The 20,600-nt window shown below is 40.5% G+C and overlaps 1 protein-coding gene and 1 long non-coding RNA gene across 15 annotated transcripts in view; one reads left to right on the top strand and one right to left on the bottom strand.

Annotated features, from left to right (window-relative positions):
- Positions 1 to 20,600, top strand: part of LOC107986777 (uncharacterized) — a 303,857-nt gene that overhangs the window by 142,301 nt on the left and 140,956 nt on the right. The window lies entirely within an intron of this gene.
- Positions 10,976 to 18,648, bottom strand: NPY (neuropeptide Y). The gene is made up of 4 exons (NM_000905.4): positions 18,563 to 18,648; positions 17,410 to 17,597; positions 13,259 to 13,339; positions 10,976 to 11,175 (listed from the first exon to the last, which is right to left on the bottom strand). Exons 2-4 carry the CDS (start codon positions 17,595 to 17,597, stop codon positions 11,151 to 11,153), a joined length of 294 nt encoding a protein of 97 aa, NP_000896.1. The 5' UTR covers positions 18,563 to 18,648; the 3' UTR covers positions 10,976 to 11,150.

Here is a 20,600-nt window from a genome sequence, read left to right as displayed (position 1 = left end):
CACACCTATTTGCTATGTCTTAGTGGAGGGAGAGAACAAGAATTTAGTGAGCACTCACTATATGCCAGGTATTTTGTCAAGTATCTTATTCATTTCCTCATTTAATTCTAGCAATTGTGCAAGGTTGTATTAATCATGTTTTCAGAAGCTGAAACTAAGGGAGACAGAGAATGTGACTTGGCTGAGATCATCCAAGTAGTAAGTGATGGAGCATGATTATAACTCCTGTTATAAGAAAGTGCCTATTCTTTCTTCTATTCCATACTTCTTTGATAGGAGCTGATTTTCTCACTATTCTGTGGTTTCCTTAACTATTTATGGTATAAAGTTATGTGCATCTTCCTTTCTCTTTGATGGTAGCCTTACTGATACATTTGCCTGAATACAGTTGTGTAACTGTCTCGTGTACATGCAGGAGACATAAGGAATGACTGCCATTTTGTGGACACACAGGACATAGTAACGAGTGGAGAATCTGTGACTGTAAGATCCAGTTGAGTAAAATTCAAGTACTAAGATGATACAAACAAATTAGAAATGCTGAATAGAATATACAATGTTGAAAATGTAAAATAGAGCTCACAAAAAGAATAACAGTACCAGAAATTAAAATTAAAACTAAAAAATCAAAGATCTAAGCAACTGTGCTCATGCTTCAGCCTTTCTAAGATAGTACCAGGAATAAGTTCAAGTAAACTAGGAACTTAGATTTTAATGCTTACACGAGGGTGATAAATTAGGCCTCCAGCCCAAGCGAATTGGGAAGGTGGAACTGATCTTTCAGCATAAACACAAATAGCCATCAAATAGCGGTTTATTACAGATACAACAAATAATGAAAGGATGGACTAGAAAAAACTATGCCCATGGCTTAGCTTGCCTGTCCATGCCTGTGCTATAAAAGTGGGGAGGTTGTCTTCATAGGGAACTGAAACCCTAGTTGTACATCATGGTGGTTTGGCAGTTAGATTTCTATTACCCCCATAATCCAAAAGTCACCAAGCCAAAAAATTGATATGAGATGGTTGGTGATTCCCCTGGCATACTTGGCAAATATAAATACAAAGCTGCTCTGAAGGATCATTCCCACAATCCAAGTTATATGGAGTTTCCACAGGGAAGCAGAACACAAAAGATAGATGGGTACACTTACTACACTGAGGTAGTAAGGGCTCAAGGACCCACTGAAGAGAAATTCAGAAACTAGAAGAAAGATTTGAATAAATTATTCAGCATGCAGCATAGATTGTAAAAAATAGATGGGAAATAGAAGTAAATTAAGAGATTTGGAACACAGAATAAGAAAGTTTACTCAATAGAATTTGATGAACAAAAGAACATAGAAAGTAAGAGAGAGACAACATTTAAAGAGGTGGCTGTGAATAGATAAAAGGCATAAATTCATGTATTTAAAACCACAATAAGTCTCTACAAGGATAATAAAAAGAAATCCCACATCTGAACACATCATCATCCTGAAATTCAGGCCACCAAGACGAAGATAAATTCTTACAATCAACCATAGAGGAAAAGATGAAAAGCAACCATAGTGGAAAGATAAAAAAAGATAGAAAATAAGTTATGAATGACTACAGACTTCTCAAGATCAACAGTGGAGGCTGGGAGTCATTGAAATACTAGCTTCAGAGTGTTAACAGAAAATTGGAGATGTAGAGCACTGTATGCAGCTAAAGTGTCATTCAAGAGTCAGGGTGAAAAACATATATTTACAGAAATGACTAAAATATTTTAGCATTGAAAGACCCTGTCTTGAAGAACTACTGAAGGATATACTCCAGGAAGAAGGAATTTGAACCCAGAAAGAAGGAATACATTGAAAGAAGTAATAATGAACAACGAACAACAAAACATTGGTAAACATGAGTAAATATAAATAAACCTTGACTATACATTTAAAAAAAAAATGCCTTTCTAGCTTGGGAGGACAAACAAACAAAATGTCTAGAGCGGGTTATTGTAATTGAACAGATTTTAATGCCCTTACTTTGTTTAGGTAGAAAATATAGTATCCAAGCTAGCAGAGATATGAAGTGGAATTAGGAAATTTGATTTATTCAATAGAAGGCAAGAAAAAGAAAAAAAATGAAAAAAAAAAAGCATGGCAAAGAGAAAGAACAAAATAAGTTGTAGAAATAGATCCATATATATTCAGTAATCATAATAAATGTAAATAGTCTAAATTTACTAGTTAAGAGAACTTTTTGTTTACATTTTTCAAATAGCTACATTGTGTTACAAAAGATACAACTAGAACTTAATGGCTACTAAAGGTTGAAGGTTAATAGATAAAAGAAATAGGTAAATATCAATTTTTTTAAAGCTAGCATAGCTGTTATGAGTATTAGACACACTAGACTTCTAGATGAAATGCATTTTTGAGGTTAAGGAGGGTTGGTACATGATAATAAGGATCCCAGGTCTTTCTGACATCTTAGCAATTCTCAGTGCTGCCTCTCCCTTGTGACCATAGTGCATGATGTCACACAATGATTTAAATTACCTGTGGGTAAAAAGGTATAACTCAAGGAACATTGGTATATAGTCAGACTGGCCTTGGTTAAAGTTCCAGCCTCGCCAACCACCACGTTTGTTGTCTTGTTTCATTTCACCTCTCTGAGCCTGTTTCCTCATCTGTAAAATGTGGCCAGTGTTTCTGCCTCTCATGGTTTCAGTGATAATTAAAATAATTAAAGTAAATAAAGGGCCAATTTATACTAGTTTCTAAATAAATGTTAGTTCCCTCATGCCCTATTTCTTATCACCAAATAAAACCTGCAAAACTTACTTATAACTTTAGAAGGCAAATAGCTATTTAGGATTTCAAGCAGAAAACATTTTTCTTATGAAGAGTTAATTATCCATGAAATTAAATATTTATGCATTCATAGAACCAATGTATTTATAATGTTACAATATGAAAGTGGCTGGTCTAGAAATTATAAGATGTTTTAATGTCTTCACAGCTGATGTTTCTCCATCATGGGAATATTTTTACATTACCTTTTACAATTATCTAACGGGAATAATGTACTGTAAGGTTGCTTAGGAAAATAGCATGCAGTTGAACATTTATATTCAGGTGTGTAAATGCTGACTGCTGGTTGAGATGCCCACTTGTAAGCAGCTTGACACTCAAGCATGTTTTCCCTTAAAACAAGATCATAAATGGCAGTTTGTTTCCCAAGTTGGGTGACCAACTTATCCAGGTTTGCCTAAAGCGGAGCGATTTCCCAGGAGGCAAGACTTTCAATGCTAAGCCTAGGACAGTCCTGGGACAACCAGAATGGTTGGTCACCTTGCCAGGCCAACACCCCAAAACTGATCTGCCTGCCTCAGCCACTGCTGCTTCATCGGAACCCTGCTCTGCCAGGAGCCGAAGTTCCTCCTGTTGTATGGCTGGGCACAACACTTGATCTCTGACAGTCACCTGAGCCCCCAGGGACGAATAGCTCTGGCTTCTGCGTGGGGAGATAAAATAAGCATTTCCTGTCTGTTACATTTTATCCCTTAGACCCCAGTGTGCCTTATCCTATGCCTAGAAAACACATCTTTCAAAAACATGATATTTTTAGCTCTGATCACATGCTCTTCTCTGATTGTTGCCCAAAATGAGGCCCCCATGTTCAGGGTGGAGGTATAAGCAGCAAAAGAGGATCAGATGCTGTCATATCCCCTCCACAGTCCTTATTCTCTCATCCCACCACCCACACATATCAACTCAGACAACAGATGCTCACTCTGAGATGCATGGTCCATCACCACTTCCCCAGACAGTGATTTCAGAATCCCAGTTGGAGCTTGATTAAGTACTGCACAGCCATTTTTCTAGGAATATGATGTTGTTAATAATGACCTTGACATCCACAAAAGTAAAGCACAGGCTATTGAACAACTGCCATCCACCAAGGTCCAATTCAAATGACACTTCCCATTCCTCACATATACTAGTGGAAATGATTTCAGCCTCCCCTGTTCTCCCATAGCACTTACTTTATGCTTCTATTTAAACATTGATCATGATCTGCCTTGCATTATAGTTCCTTAAGCATGTGTCTATCTCCTTTATAAATTGTTAGGTCTTTAAGAGCAGGGAAACTGTCTCACTCATTTTATATCACCCCTAGAACCTAGCAGAGTACCAGTCACAGGGAGACTATTCAATGAATATTTCAGAAATTGATAACATCCTTGGGACTCTAGAAACCCATTAGAGATCAGCTGGTTCCATTTTAACCTGATCAATAATCCAGCCTGTTAGAAAGAGTGACTATATTAAATATGTTCTGCCAACATTGCTTATTCTTGCATTAAATTTCACAGACCAGTTAATTCAGTAGGCCGTTCTGGTTCGAGAAGACTTGGCAGTGATAGAAAAGATACAGGTATTAGAATAAATAAAATTCAAATTATTCTAGGCAAGCTTTAATTGAAAACTTATTTGAATGATGTTATTCTCTCTAACAGATAATTCCCAAATAGTAAGGTGTTATTTAGTGAGAAGAAAGGGTAAAATGTGACTTTTATATTCTATAGAAAGATTCTCATTTCAACTTAAATTGCTTCATAATACCATAGTAAAGCAGCCAAACTAATGAGTGAAGTCAAATTTCAGATAAATACACCGAACAAATCAGTTTAAAATTCAATTAAATTCTGAAAAAGCAAAGAATTCTGAAATTAGGAATAAATTGGGAATCAAAGGAATCCATGTCTTATAGATAAAACAGTTTGAAAAAAAACAAATTCTTTATGTTTAAATATCAAAATAATTTACCCAAGGACATAAAGAGTTGTAAAATATACCCCCTAAATAGAGCCAATACATTAGTATGCAATATAAGTGGTAACAATTGGTGAAAACTCCAAAATCTTCACTAAATTCAAAGCCAGGAAAAAATCATCAGTGACCCAAAAAGCATTTCACAGAATTTTGGTACTTCAATATTCAAGACTCTTTGGAAAAAAAAAAGATTTTTTAAGAACTTGATATTAAAGGTAATGCCAGGTAAATCAAACTTCCAAGATGACAGAAACGAACTGTGTATTCAACCAGTAACTTTCAGAGATCCACAAAGCTATGGTTAAATAAACTTTCATATTTTTGTCAAGACCCTGCATAAATGCTACCTGTACCTCCTGAAAGAACCACAAAAAACCTTTGTGAGGCTGTTCAACAAACATTGCACTTGTTCTGGCTCCTCTGGGATCATTCTCAGTATTTACAATCAACTTCAGACTGAACTAGCTCTCGTGGAGAATCCTGTGCGTCAGGCAACAAGGGCAGTATCAACATATCCATACCACCCTTCCCATAATTGCACAGCATTTGAATACTGCAGCATCAGAATGAGTTTAAATTGATAGCTATTACTTAGCACATTAAAAAAAATGAGCCCGTATGACACATATGATTAATTATATGTTATTCCATTCTGATTTTAAAAAGAGAAAAAGATCCTGTGTGATTTCACACTGTGCTGATTTTTCTAATAGGCAGAAGAAAAGGCAATAATTTTATTGTGACAATATTACATTCCTCCTACCCAGAACCATGATAAAAGAATATCCCACTGAAACACCTCATTCAAAAGGTTGTTTTCCTTTATGATGATAGAAAAGGTATTTGTTTAGTTCTGATGACATTGTAAATGATTCCAATGTTCTGCATGGAGGAGAAAAGAACAATTTTCTATTGTATACATATTAATATGTAACCATATAAGCATAATGTTTGTGCATTAGAAAGAGAGGAGATAATTAACTGCCATCATCATGTTTACCTTCCTGTCATCAGTAGCACATGTGGGACCTGCACATGGGTGTGCTAAGTTGGTGAAAAGAAATTGGTTTTGCTATTACTTTCAATGTCAAAAACCACAGTTACTTTTGCACCCATCTAATAATATTGAGCACTTGCATCCGCCATCTTTTTTTTTCTTTTCTTTTTTTTTTTTTTTTTGAAGACATAGTCTTTCTCTGTCGCCCAGGCTGGAGTGCGGTGGTGCGATCTTGGCTCACTGCAAGCTCCACCTCCCGGGTTCACGCCATTCTCCTGCCTCAGCCTCCCTAGTAGCTGGGACCACAGGTGCCCGCCACCACGCCCGGCTAATTTTTTGTATTTTTAGTAGAGACGGGGGTTTCACCGTGTTAGCCAGGATGGTCTCGATCTCCTGACCTCATGATCCGCCCGCCTCGGCCTCCCAAAGTGCTGGGATTACAGGCGGGAGCCACCGCTCCCGGCCGCATCCACCATCTTTACTTCACCTAATGGGAAGCATCACACGATGGTGTGCAAACTCCAAGCCGGTGCTGTTTTTTCCTTCTCTTTAAATCTGTTTTTCTGTTCTGACCCTTGTCTAGGCAGGGGAAAGAGGATGCAAGATAAAATATTCCAAAGAAATAGCGAATCCTTGCCTTCCTGACCCTGGGTGTGGAACCACCCTACAACATTTATTCTCTGAATTTGTTAATTTGTCCGTAAGATTATGGTTAAGAGATCTCAGTCTGAGAAGTCTAATCCTAATTTGGCTGAAGGAAAAATATTGGTAGAGAGGCCTCAGTATGCCCTGGAGTCAAGTCTGTAGGAAGAGCAGATGGGATGTTTTTAAAAAAAATAAATAAAAAATAAGGAATGCCTGGGAGAAAAGAGTTTGAGATGACTGTGAGACTAGACTTGATTTTGTTCTAAATGAGGTTTTCGCCTTAGAACATAACCCAGTTGTCCAGGCCTGCCACTATCAAATTCAAAGTATGGGAATCACAAATAATTAAAAAGTAATCAAAATATGCATTACTGTGTCATATCTGCATGTTCTCTACCTCCTATCTGGCATTCTTCATTTGGCAATTGCTGCTCATCCTTCAAACCTCAGCTCAAGCATCAGTCAGCTGCCCTAGGAAGTCTGTCCTACTCCTGCACTCTCCTCAGCCTGGGGTGAGTGACCTTCACTATCCCAGTAAAAGCACGGCCCACTTCTTGTTAAGGAAGGAGATATTGCTACCCCTGAAATAGGAAATACCAATTTTGGACATACTGAACTTTTTTTTTGAGACAGGATCTCACTCTGTTGCCCAGGCTGGAGTGCAATGGCACGATCTTGGCTCACTGCAACCTTCACCTCCCGGGTTCAAGTGATTCTCCTGTCTCAGCCTCCCAAGTACCTGGGACTACAGGCATGTGCCACCATACCCAGGTAATTTTTGTATTTTTAGTGGAGATGGGGTTTCACCATGTTGGCCAGGCTGGTCTCAAACTCCTGATCTCAGATGATCCGCCTGCCTTGGCCTCCTAAAGTGCTGGGATTACAGCTGTGAGCCACCGTGCCCAGCCAACATATTGAATTTGAATGGTCTATAGGATGTCCACATTTTAGCCTTAACCCATGAGACCTCTGGCCTCTGTTCTTTCTCTTTTCCTGTCTCCCTCTGCATGGGAGACAGTTGCTATTCTGACTGATTCATTAGGCCACATTGTCTTAACAGGCAGGGACACAACTGAAAGGTAATGAGCAGTCACAAGTGGCGTTTCTCTTTTTCCATCTGCTGCTAGAAGTGACAGGCTGGCCCTTCTGATCTATGTGGCTATTTGTGTAAGTGAATTTGGGAATCTTCCCCAGAAACCTTACTTTTCCTGTCACTCTTCACTAGGCTGCTGAGATTTGGTTTGGAAACGGGGTGCTCTGGAGGCTTGGGCGGCAGCCAGGCACCCTGATTCAGCTTACCAGGCAGCCCTACATTTGGGCCTCATTGGATGCTTGTTCACCTGGCTCTGTTTCCTAGTTGGCAACTGACTCTTATATGTACGGCTCCCTTGTTAGGAAACTGCAAAGGGAAGCATGATGAGTGGGAAGGTTCTAGCACCTAACTACTTCTTAGACCTCTGACACATCTCTGCACTTCCAACAATGTACTGTAATTATTTGCCTCCCTCATTAGATAGTAAATTCCCTGAGAAACTAATCTTTGTATCCTCACTGCTTAGCACAATTGTATCCTCAGTGCTTAGTACCAATACATATTAGGTGATGAAAATATGTTAAGTGAATGAATGAGTTTGGCCATTCTTAGACCTAGTTCATCAATCTAGCCTCTGCTACTCTCTCTCTGTTCCTGTCAAGTAGAGCTCTGAAGGTTCCCTTCACAAGCTGTGCTAATCCACACAGTTTTTAGCCCAGACCCAAAACCTCCTATTCTCAGGTCAATCCACATTCTCTGGTAAGCATTTTTCAACTAGTCGGCCCACACTAATTTCCTTTTCTCAATAGTTCTCACACAATTTGTTTAGTACTTCGTTACTCTCTAATTTGTTTTCAGTGTGGTACACCAGAGTTATGCTCTTAACTAGATCATACACAACCTGATCTCCATTTGCATTCACTGCTGGAAGACATTGTCAAGCAGGGCAAAGTTTTCAAGTAAAGAGGAGCTGCTGTCTTGTCCCACTAACTTGAATGAGGTAGGATAAGTCACTTACTTCCTATAGGCCTTTCTGTGAAAATTGGGGGAGTATTCATCTGCTTGAGTATGTCTTGGGTATTGCAGGAATCAAAATAAAAACATGACACCTGCAAAATTTATGCACACATTATACCTCATAGATGATGGACTAGAGCTAGGGTGAGAGGAGACCTTAATAAGTGCTGATGGATTTACTTGATAATGATTATGTTGCTCATAGGGATCTCATTAATGAAGGCTAGATTGTTCTTACTATAACTCTAGTAAGCATTATCATTATTGTTTGCAATGACAGCTGAGTGATCCAGTGCCTTTAAACCTATTCTATAACCTATTTAAACGTATTTCAAACCTATTCCCATTCTAAACCTGAAAATGTTTGAGAAATATTACTATAGAGAATCTCCTGAAATGCAGTTTTGCAGTTTTTTAAAAGTTTGCTATCTTTTTATTTCTGAAAGCTAATTCTGGTTCATTAGGGATTTAGAATTCAACACAGGAGTCATCAAAAACTTCATTTTTACCCACTTCTTTTCTATTACTTGTAACGTTATCTTAACCTGAATTTTGATTCCCATAAAGGTATACATGGAAATTTAGGCAGGAATAATTATCCCCATCTCATGGATGAGAACCCAGCCATGTAGTGAATTTGAAGGTCAGAGAGCTTGAAAGTCACTGAGTCAGGTTCATGGGGCCCACACGGTGTGAAGGTTAAGTCCTCCTTCCAATAAGATGAGGTGAAGAAGCAGAGGGATCAAGGCCTGGGTTGAGTATAAGTAAAAGGCGGTTGTTTAATGCTAAGTTTTCTAGGCATTTAGGTTTGATGAGGTAAGAGATTAAAATTTTTGTTTAAAATTGAATTCCTGGATTCTCTCTGAAGGGGTAATATACATTATTCCTGTTTGCTCTTCTCCATGTAATCAAGAGTTCTACAGTCATGCATCAATTATCAATAGGGGTACTTTCTTAGAAATGCATTGTTAGGTGATCTTGTTGTTGGGCAAACATCATAGAATGAATGTACTTACACAAACCTGGATGGGTATGGCTTTCTATACTCCTAGGCTATATGATATGGCCTATTGCTCCTAGGTTACAAACCTATACAGCAAGTGACTGTACTGAATACTATAGGCAATTGTGACATAATGGTAAGTATTTTTGTATCTAAACATAGAAAAGGTACAGTAAACATTCAGTATCATAATCTTATGGGACCACTGCTATACGTGTGGGCCATCATTGACCAAAATGTTGTGAAGTGGTATATGACTATATGCGTGGTGATGAGTACTCAGCTTATTTGTGCTGAAAGATGGATTTTTCAGTCAACTTTCTTTGTGTATTACTAATTTTAATAAAGAAAATTCCCAGATATACTAGGTTAATAACTTTGATGTGTAATAAATTATGACTTACTTAACTTTTTAGATTTTAAAAATGCTTTACATATTGGTATTTAGTTCCAAGAATAAAGAAATAAAAATAAAGGAAATTTTAGGGAAATTGCGGAACAATTTTATCTTAGTTTCATTAAAGGAAATTACATTTTGCAGCAACACTGACTCCATTGCCTGAAAAAAAGTTATAATTTTTTATATGCAGAGAATATTGTATATTCTACAAGATTCCCTAGGTCATGATGAATATTGCTATTCATGCATTTTTTGGTAAAGTTTTAAGATGTCATATAAACATATTTATACATATTTTTTACAGTGTGGTATGAAGTACCAGTATGGGATGAGACTCATTTTCTTTGATTTAGAAATGACATGTAAAAATATAATAACATTCATTCTAAAGTAAGCCCATGCAAGTAGGTACTTGAAGGAGGAAGTTTAATAAATTTCAGCTAAATTAATTAACATGCCCCATGTTGTATGAAAAGATAATCATCCCACTCATTGTATTTCTCACTCAAATTCTAACAGTAGTGACCAAAATAGATGTATAGACCTCAACGGTCTGATATGGTAGCCACTAGAGACTTAATGGCCATTTAAGTTAAAATTCATTAAAATTAAATAAAATTTAAAACTCATCTCTTTATTTGCACTTACTACATTCAGGGGCTCAAAAACCACATGTGGCTAGTGGCTGCCATATTAGACAGAGGGATAAAGGACATTCCACAGAAAGCTCTAGTTAGTCAGGAAGTTCTTCTGCTGACAGCACTGGTTAACAAGGTTAGCAAAAGGGTTCCAATGTTAATGGGGGGAAAGCTCAGAAAAATTTCCCAAATTAGCATTCCTTTGATCAATATCTTCAAATGCATCTATATGTTTTACACACATACACACACACCACACAGCTGATCTTGGTTATCATGAATAATCATATCTTCATATCTTTCATAGCCGCTGTTTTAATATTAGCGAAACGAACCCTGAATCTGCTAGTTGAGGGAGACTATAATGACTAATTGTTAATAATAAGTTTAACGAAAATAATCCTCACTATTGTAATAGATTTTTCATTGAGGAGGATACACTTTTGAATGCATGATACTTTATTTAAACACACATATATACAATGATGACAAAGGAAAACATTGCAGAATTCAGCACAGTGGCTGCATGCATTGGTAGGATGGGTGGATTCTCGTTTTACACGATGAAATATGGGCTGAAAATAGGAAAAGGCCAGAGAGCAAGTCTCATTTCCCATCACCACATTGCAGGGTCTTCAAGCCTGTAAAACATAAGAAGCAAAGCATGTAAGGAAAGCTGCCCAACTTCCTGAGGTATGAGCAAGGGTGAGACATTTAGATCTGAAGTGAAAGATGACCGGGAACTGTTGAAAAGTTTCCTGTTGGCATTCTAAATAAGAAGCCATGTGGAATATCAGATCGTGAGGCGGAGGCACAATATGCACAGCCCCAGCTGAGCAGCATTCCACGATGTTGACAGGCGTCTTGGGCAAACATCAGAGAGAGCATTTGAAAGGCTCTGTATGTATCAAAGGAGCCGAAGAACACCCCGATCTTTTGAAAATCAAAATTACAGAAATCACATGAAGCTGTGACAGGAAAGTTATTGTTCCTCAACTCTAAATATGCTTCCTTTTCCTGCCAGCTTTATTATGTAGTAAGATGCTACTTATTAGACTATAATAAGACCTTTATAATAAAATAGCACTCATAGGCAACTTCAAGACCGTCAAGTTTTGTCTCCTTCTAACTGCACCTGATGGAGTCTGTCAATCAGGTTGCAATTAATTTTACTTCATGCACTAACTGTGTGACCTTGGGCCACAAAACAAAGACAAAAACCAAGGTTCTAAGTAGGTCTGCGTTGTTATTTTTCTAACAGTAAGTCGATATAGTCTACCCTAAACTTTTTACTGTGGCAAACATCATATGCATGTCAGTGAAACATGGAAAGACATTTACTGCTTAGTGTTAAAGACAACCCTGGCCAGGCATTATGGCTCACAACTGTAATCCTAGCACTTGGGCAGGCTGAGGAGGGAGGATCTCTTGAGGCTGGGAGCTCGAGGCTGCAGTGATCTTTGATTGCACCACTGTGCTCTGGCCTGAGTGACAGAAGGAGACCTTGTCTCTGAATAATAATAATAATTATTATTATTATTATTTAATTAAAAAAAGATAACCCTTACAAATTTTCTGCCTGTTTCCCTTGCATTTGCTATTTAAGTCTGGGCTGGTTCCTCCAGGGACAGGAGCACTGGAGTTTTATCTCAGTTCAAATCGTTGTTCCCTTTAGAGAAAACAAATCTCACAACTCTATACTAACACCCTTCATGCTGGCTGGCCATTTTAGAAGAGAACTGAGGGAGGTTAGAAGGGAAGGTGGGTGGCCCAGCGGGTCACCCTGCTGAGTCTCTAGGGAGAACTTGATGGAGAGCCACGTCAGTCACACTCACTGAGCAAGTGTTGTAGTGACCTCTTCTGGGGAACTTGGTTCTTGACATTGTAGAACTTGGTTTAAGGCAGCCAAGCTGCCACAGACGTGGGTGGACCCTGTGAACTATGATCTTACTGTGGTTAGAGACAGGAAGCAAGGACTGAAGAGTCAGGAGGTTATGAAGATGGAAGAGGACCAGGCTCCTCTTCAGCAGCACTCCTTGTCCAGGAGGCACCAGAAAACCTTAGCTCAATGTTTAACACTTAGACATTGGTGGGCACCTCTTTCCAAGACAGACCCAAACTGCAAGAAAGTCCTGAGACTACAGATAAACTCCTAAGAATACTGTCATTCAACGTGCATTCGTTGAATGTAATAAATCACTATATGACACAAGTTGAATTAAAATATGTCAAAAAGTAATCCAGAGCACCTAATTTACCTACAGCTTCATGTAAAACTGGGAAAGTTGGAGTAAAAACCACATGGGACATTTCCTAGGACATCTGGACACTCCACATATATAAAATCTACAGATCTTCCCAGCCAGAGATGGACAGTTGGTCATTTCAATTTAGAGTCAGGGACTCACTCTATGCTCCCCTGACTCCAACAATGTTAGAAATTCTATATAATTTCTAAGTTAAAAGTCAATTATTTTTAAAATCGTCAAAGGAGCACCAAATAACCTGAGCTAAAAAAATGTTATTCCACAGAAGTTTAGAGATTTGACAATGAGTACATGAAAAGAGAGGTCTCCTCTGCCTGCTTCTTCATCCTCATTTCTGCCGAAATCTCCCCTAGTCTAGAAGCCTGGTGGTGCCTCCCACCAGGCACCTGTCTCTGACTTCCCTCCCCTGGGCACCTTGAGCTCTGCAACAATGTCCCCATCACAAGCCTTGTCATACCGAGTTCTGGGAACATTTTCTGTGCTTTCTCTCATCAAGAGGTCTGAAATCAGTGTCTCTGGGCTGGATCGTTTTCCATATCTGGAAAAAAAAAAGTCTTTTAAAGCAAGTTTGGAATAGGCATAAAAACCTTTAGGAAAAAGGAAGATAGTCTCCTATTTGGGATATGAAAACTAAACATTATTGTCAGGTGTTCATCTGTAACAAGCAAGCTAGGTGTATGAAGCATATATTATCGAAACATTATCATAAATATTATTTCAAATTATTTGTATATATATTTAAACTTTGCTCAAATAATAAATAATCTAGGAGGTTATTTAAACCGAACCAAAATTCCTAGTCAAATTCCTGCCTTCTTAAACAACCACAAATAATATGTATAGAGATACATACTTTTATAACTAGGTGACAGGAAATTTGAAAACATGGAAGCATGATTGTAAATGTTTCCACAATTAGTTAATTGGCTATTGTTCTGATGATACACAGCAGTTTAAATCTTAACAAGGAGACCAGATGATATTTCAAAGACAGTCCTAGAAAAAAAAAATCAGCAGATTGCCGTCCAAGACCCACCTGTGTCTTTGAATCCCAATTTTCTCGTTTGTAAAACAACCCCTGCTTAAATCAGAGTCTTTGTGAACATCCAGTGTGAAATGTGAGTCACAATGCTTTCAAAGTGACAAAGTGATACACGCATGCAAATTACTGCTGTTGAAATGCATCCATTCTTCTGGCTACCAACAGACCCTGGGTCTTATATTTTCCATATTCATTCAAGGTGCCAAATGCTAAAGTCTTTCCTAATGCTGTGATTTTAGCCTCCCTGTAAGTCTAAAGGAATCTAACTGATCCATGGAAATGTTCTTTTTTTTTTTTTTTTTTTTTTCTCCTGTAGCAGGATATGGGTGAGACAATACATACAGGTAAGGTTTCGTTTACCTGTGAGGGTAGTATATGCTCCCCACTCCAGAACACTACAAAACGGCCAGACAAGTCTATACCAAATTGCGTCTTTTGAAGAGGCCATTTTTCTCTTTCTCAGAAAAGGCATTGGACACCATTCGCCACTTTGTTTAGAAATAAATTAGTCTGGTATGGATTGGTTAATAGGTCCAACAACTGAACAAAGCTGACAGAGGGTATATTCTAATTGCCAAGCAAAATTATATCTAAATTTTTTGGAAATATTTTCTATGACTGTTCTTTTGCTGAGACTCAAGGGAAGCAAAAACAAAACAACTCCCTGTCCCACTCCCATCATGTGTGAGATTTTCTCAAAGATTTTCTGGAGTTGCGATATTAGACTATAGGTGTCTGCTTATACTTATTTATTCTGTCCATCCATTGGTTTTACTAATCGTAAAAGTCTAGGGCAACTGTAACTCATTTATCTTCATCATGCTCCAGTGAGTAAAAGAACTGCCAACTTTTTATCCAATTTACCAGTAAAGAACCTAAATCTGAAATAGGAGGATTTGCACAGTCATAATCTTGCATCCAGTTCAGTACTGTTCACTCTTCTTCCTTCTTTAATTAATTCTGGATCATCCTTCCCCTCTACAATGCTGTAACTTTCAAAGATTGAGTCCTTAGAGTAAAGATTCTCAAACCTGGCTGCACATTAGAATCACCTGGGGAGTGTTAAAAACACACTCTAAAGCCCAGGCCCCATCCCAGAGGGTCTGATTTAATTGGTCAGGGGTGGATCCCAGCATCAGTGTATTTTAAAAGCTCCCCTGATAATTTTAATGTGCAGCCAGGAAGGAGAAACACTAATCTAAGGCTGAGTTTCTCTGGGACTGGCTATTCTGTGTAATGGGGGCTGTCCTGGGCATGGTAGGATATTTAGCAGCCTCCTTGGCATCTATACACCTAGGTACCAGCAGTGCCCACCTCCAGTTGTGAAAACCAAAAATGTCTCCAGACACTGCCAAATCACACCTGGGGAGCATAAAATCACCCCCAGTTGAGAACCACTGATTTAGGGGGCTATATAAATAAATTGTAGGAGACCCACACTCTAGAATAAGTAATGCAGCTTCCAGAAGCAATGAGCCAGGGGTATATATACAGCAAAAGGAATATAAGCACAAATTGAGTGCAGGGGGAATGCTGGTGGCGGGGGGCGGGGGGAAAGAAAGATAATGATATCAGATTATATCTATACTAAATTAAAGCACATCCACAAATGACCCTGTAATTTTCAGAAACGCACATAGGAGTGGGTGTCTGTGGTGGGAAGGAGAAGATGGACGTACATTAAGAGCCTCTGCTGGTTTCTAAGAAGGAGTTTATACAAAGATGAGACAGGAAACTCTGCCTCAGAGACCAGCTCATTCCCATCTAAGCTGAATCTCTTGCCATGAAACCCAAGTCCCTTTCCTTTATGTTTTTTTCTCATCAAACATGTTGGAGATAACACTGCCTGTTGATGGTGGTGACAACATCCAAAGACACTCAAAGGAGGGCTCCAATTCCATAATTCCTATAAAAATAGCTTCCATGAAATGTCATTAGCTTCATGATTTGTGAAATGAAGATAATTATACTCCCTTCAAAGCTTTGAGGTAACGACTGAATGAGAGAATGCCTAGGAAAACATTTTAAAATGCTAGAGCTTTGTAAAATGGTAAAGCTTTATGGCAATCATCTTCGGAAAAATGAGTTCTACTGTGTATTATGCTACAGCTAAATAACTAACAAAGGTTTTTCTAGAAAAAACAGTTAATATCTTTTTGTTTGTACAAGTTCTCTTTGATCTGCATGACGGCATAACATAGCAAGAATTTGAATCAATTAACTTTCTGGGAAGTATGGAATATAAAATATTATTGCTTTTTGCTAATTAAAATGATCAGATTTCAAGGGATCACAAACAACTACTATTTAATTCTGGCATTTTCATGTTTTTCAGATTCTATATAAATTGGGGCTTTTTCAAAAGTGTTTTAGGATGTTAAATACCTTTTTGATGAAACAGGAAAAAGCAAACTTTATTTTAAAAGTATAAATCTTCCCCCCTTTTGGATCCTTTCCAACTACTCCCTGACTTGTAAACAGTAAAAATATGGACTAAATAAATAAATATATAAACCCCACAATACTTTAAACATATAATTTAAACATGTTAACTAACATTAATGCTTCTAAAGGGCTTATCCTTTAGATACGGTCAAATGACTAAAATCATTTAATCTCAGTAATTAAAATAAGATATTAAATGATTTAGAACTAAGATCAACCAATTTTGAAAACAAAATTTAAATCCTATGTAATTTGTAAAATAGTTTGGATTTGATTTTTCCCTTAATTGTCAATGTTGAGAGTGAAAATATGGCATTTCATTTTGACTTTCGGAATGTTCAGAATAAAGTTTACAATTTCTCAGATTCCATGTAATCCCTGAATTCATCCTAAAGTTACTGGACCAACGTAAGTTTCTTCTTAATGAAATACCAAGTGGGCACTTTCTTTTCAGAATTCACCAGCTATAAAATAGGGAGACCTCTGCATTTTAGATAAACTGTTTTCAGGCTAAATCTCTAATTATTGGGACTAGAATTTTCAAATATGGGAGTGAGACTGCAAAAAAAACACAGTGAAGAAGAAAAGAAAATAGCTCTATTTGTCTTTTTCTAAATACTGTCATTCAATTAGCCCTGGGCAGGCCGGAAAGTCTGACAATGTCTGTGGCAACCCTGCAGTTTACTCCTTGGTTTGGTTTTCTTTGGTGGTCGTTCTGTTTCTCCTAGACACCTTGCTAGCGTTTCCCCCTACAGCATTTCTCTGGCGCATTCTTGCCCCTTTCACTGGGTACTTTCGAGATTTCTGGACCGGGCCCCACTGCCGTAAGAACCACAACAAACCATAAGAGGTGAGTGAGAGGAGATTGCCAGCCTACCAGCCTGGGGAACCTGAATCTGGGGATCACGACTCTGTGACTGTAGTTGCACAAAATGGAAGGTACCCATTTTGTGTAGAGTGTGCCCTGTACAAACATTTACCTAGAGCTGACTAAGTGCCTGATACTGTCCTGCCCTGGGATAGAGCGAAGGAAAAGAAACAATCCCTTTCCCTAACATCCCCAGGATCTCCTGGTGTGCAGGCACTGGCGCTCCCGGAATCGGTCCCGCGGTCCCACCCACCTCTGCCTGGTGATGAGGTTGATGTAGTGTCGCAGCGCCGAGTAGTATCTGGCCATGTCCTCCGCTGGTGCGTCCTCGCCCGGGTTGTCCGGCTTGGAGGGGTACGCCTCGGCCAGCGCACCCAGGCACACGAGCAGGGACAGGGCGAGGGTCAGTCCGGACAGCCCCAGTCGCTTGTTACCTAGCATCTGCAGGCACAGAAGGCTCAACGGACGGGCTTGGGGATTCAGAGCACCCACGCGCAGCACCTCCCTCCTCTGCCCCCCGCGCTCCTCCTCCTGCTACCACACGCGACCCCCAATCCGCTCTCGTCCCAGTCCCGCAGAGAGAACCCAGGAGTGGCTAGCACCACCTTGCGGGCTCCGGGCGCCGTCCGGTCGGGACCTGCCCCTCTGCTCCACCTGAAAACTTCGCGCAACTTCGTTCGAAGTCTCAGGGACCAAGAAGCGCGCGGCGAGAGTGCAAGGTGGGGGCCCCGCCAGTTTAGCATTCAAAACCGAATTGGAAGTTCTTCCTGCTGGGTCACTTTTCTCCCTTCTTGCCCAAACTCTTGTCTGGGAAGAAAAGTTTCTTCTCTGTTACTTCTGGTCTGCCTAGCTTCAGGGGATCAACGCTGACAGCAGAGATCACCTCGGGGTGACGACTGCGGTGGGGAAGGGGAAAGAGAATTGCTCCCTGGGCCAGAATTGCTCCAAAGAGATTTGGAGCCCAAGAATCCAGGGAGGTGGCAGGGCGCGGGGCTCTAGAGCTCCAGGGATTCCTCACTCGATGGCGCTGCCGGGGAAACCTTCCTACCGCGCACCGCTTCCTGGGCCTCAAGGCGGCGACCCGCAGGGAGACCGCCAGCTGCCTTGGGATAGCGGTCCCGGGTTCTCCCTCCATATCTGCTAAAAGGTAACTCAGAAGAACCGCCCAGCGGGAAGGGCCCGGGAGAAGGGCCGTGGACAATCAGAGGGGAGCAGAGGAACAAGTGGAATTTAGCCGCCAAGAGGGCTGGTCCGCGTCGGGGCGCGGAGCCGGCATAGTCCGCTGGGGAGTGGAGCGCGATCATCCCAGGGCCCCAGGGCTCCACAGAGCGGGAGGCTGCGTCTCTAGCAAGTTCGCGGGCGCCCCGTTCGCTCCCACCCCTAGACAGACGGGTCGTAGCACTCACGGTGGCTGGCGCGCGGGCGTGGCTGGGCGGCAAGTACTATGCTGTCGGGCGAGCGTCTCCGAGGGGTGAGAGCCAGCGGATGGGGTGCAGAGAGCGGGTCGCGACAGGGCTTTTATGGAGCTTCCTCGCCGCGGCAGGAGGGGCCTCGGGCAGTCACGCTTGGGTGACTCCCACCCGCCACTTCCCGCCCCTGAGTGGCGGGGGGAGGGGGCTGGAACCGCAGCCGCACGAGTGTCGACTTAGGGAGCCACCCACACCCCAACCCTCCCGCCCCAGGCACTGCCTGAAGAAGCGGGGCCTGGGACCGCGTGAGCGAGGCAGCGCACTCCGAGCGCGCTGGACAACACCAAAGCCCAAGTATCTGCCCTCGGGCAGTGCCCGATCCCTGCTTTCCTTCTTTCCTTCTTTCCTTCACGCCCCGTCTAGTCCTGCCAGAGATAGGAGCAGCCCAGACGATTCTTGTCTCCTGCCAACAGGACTACCAACCCACTGGGTGCCGGAGTAGGAAGCACCTGAATCCTCTTTGTGGTGGGGCATCTCCACGACTAGCGCGGCATCCTCGCCGGGCACAACTGCGCGCTGTTGGAGTGAGGCAACTGGGCGCACAGATTTTTCCTGTACTTAGAACAAGTCGGAGGCAGCTGCCGGAAGTCTCCGGCTAGAGGGTCCCAAAGCTGCGCTCCCCACCCCACCCCCGCCCGTGGTTTCAGGGGCTTCTGCCCCTTCTCTCAGCTGGTTTTTCTAGATCAGCCTTCCTCAAGTACTCGCTCAGACGCAGCGAGCCAGGCTCGGTCGAGACATGAGTGTGGCGACTCAAAATTCCCCAGAGGGGGAACACGGTAAACCTATTCCCCCAGTTTGCTGAAAAAGAGCCACGCTTCCAGCTTCTAGAGACTCTTTTAAGCTCAATTTTAAAAATATATATTTTTTCTTTTTTGGTCCAAAGTGACGGTGGTTAAATGAACAACAGTTTCTGTCTTATTTACTAACCCTTGTATAGTCCTATGTACGTTCAATTAACGTTGAGAATGTGGGTTCTGATTAAGATGAAACATGTTAAAAACGATGAACATTAATTTGCTCATCGCGTTAAACCTGTTGAATGAATATGCAAGATACAGAAACTATTATTACAGGATCAAGATTTTATGCAGTGGACTGAGATCTGAAAGTTCCGTGAATGAATGCTCCTGTATCTTTCTAAATAAAATGGCATTTTATTTCTAAATGAAATATAAGTCTGAATCTTTCTAAATAAAAAGGCATGTTGGGAAATTAAAGCATTAAGTTCCATGTTATTTTAATGCTAAAAGGACAAGTGATTCTGTTAAACTGACACTTAGTTTTTGTGCTGTTCCAACAGCATTGAATTAAATATCAAAAACCGTGAAGCAAACAATCCTTTGCATGTATGTGTTTGTGTGTTTGTGGGATCAAACTATAATTTTGGAGACCAACATCCCTTTCACTTGGCAACTGCTTCTCTTTCTGTATTACACAAACATATGCTGAGGACACAAAAATCAAGGCTCTCAGAGTTGCTCGGGGGTGCTTACAAGACACAGCCTTCGGTAAAAGTGCAAAACATCTTCTAACTTAGAGCTCTTCCTAGATAAAGGGAAAGTTACAGTCCACTTTTCAATAAAATAATCTTATTTTAGAGTGTATCACAGATTCATATCAATTAAAATCTGAACTTAAAATGTATCACTGAATTTGGGAAAAATTACTTCTAGGAAGGCCCACACCACTATTGAGAGAAGAACACTGTGGAGGCTTGATTAATTTAGCTTAAGATAATGTCATTGATTCTCAAGAATAAGAACTTATTCTGAGGGTTAAGGATTCAGAGAATAAAAAATAGGGGGTGATATGCCCTACATGTGCTTACATCCTTATCTCCTTTCTCTCCAGTCCAAGCCACATCCCCTGGCCAAAATACAAACAAAACCAACTGTTGGCAACTCAACCCTGCATCTTCTCCTAGCTGCTGAGCCATTTCTCTCCTTTGTTTCAAAGTCAAGTTGTTTATTTCTAA

This window comes from Homo sapiens, chromosome 7 (genome assembly GCF_000001405.40).
Source record: "Homo sapiens chromosome 7, GRCh38.p14 Primary Assembly".
Lineage (NCBI taxonomy): Eukaryota > Metazoa > Chordata > Mammalia > Primates > Hominidae > Homo > Homo sapiens.
The sequence above is the reverse complement of the archived record's forward strand: the minus strand, read 5'-3'. Positions and strand labels throughout refer to the sequence as shown.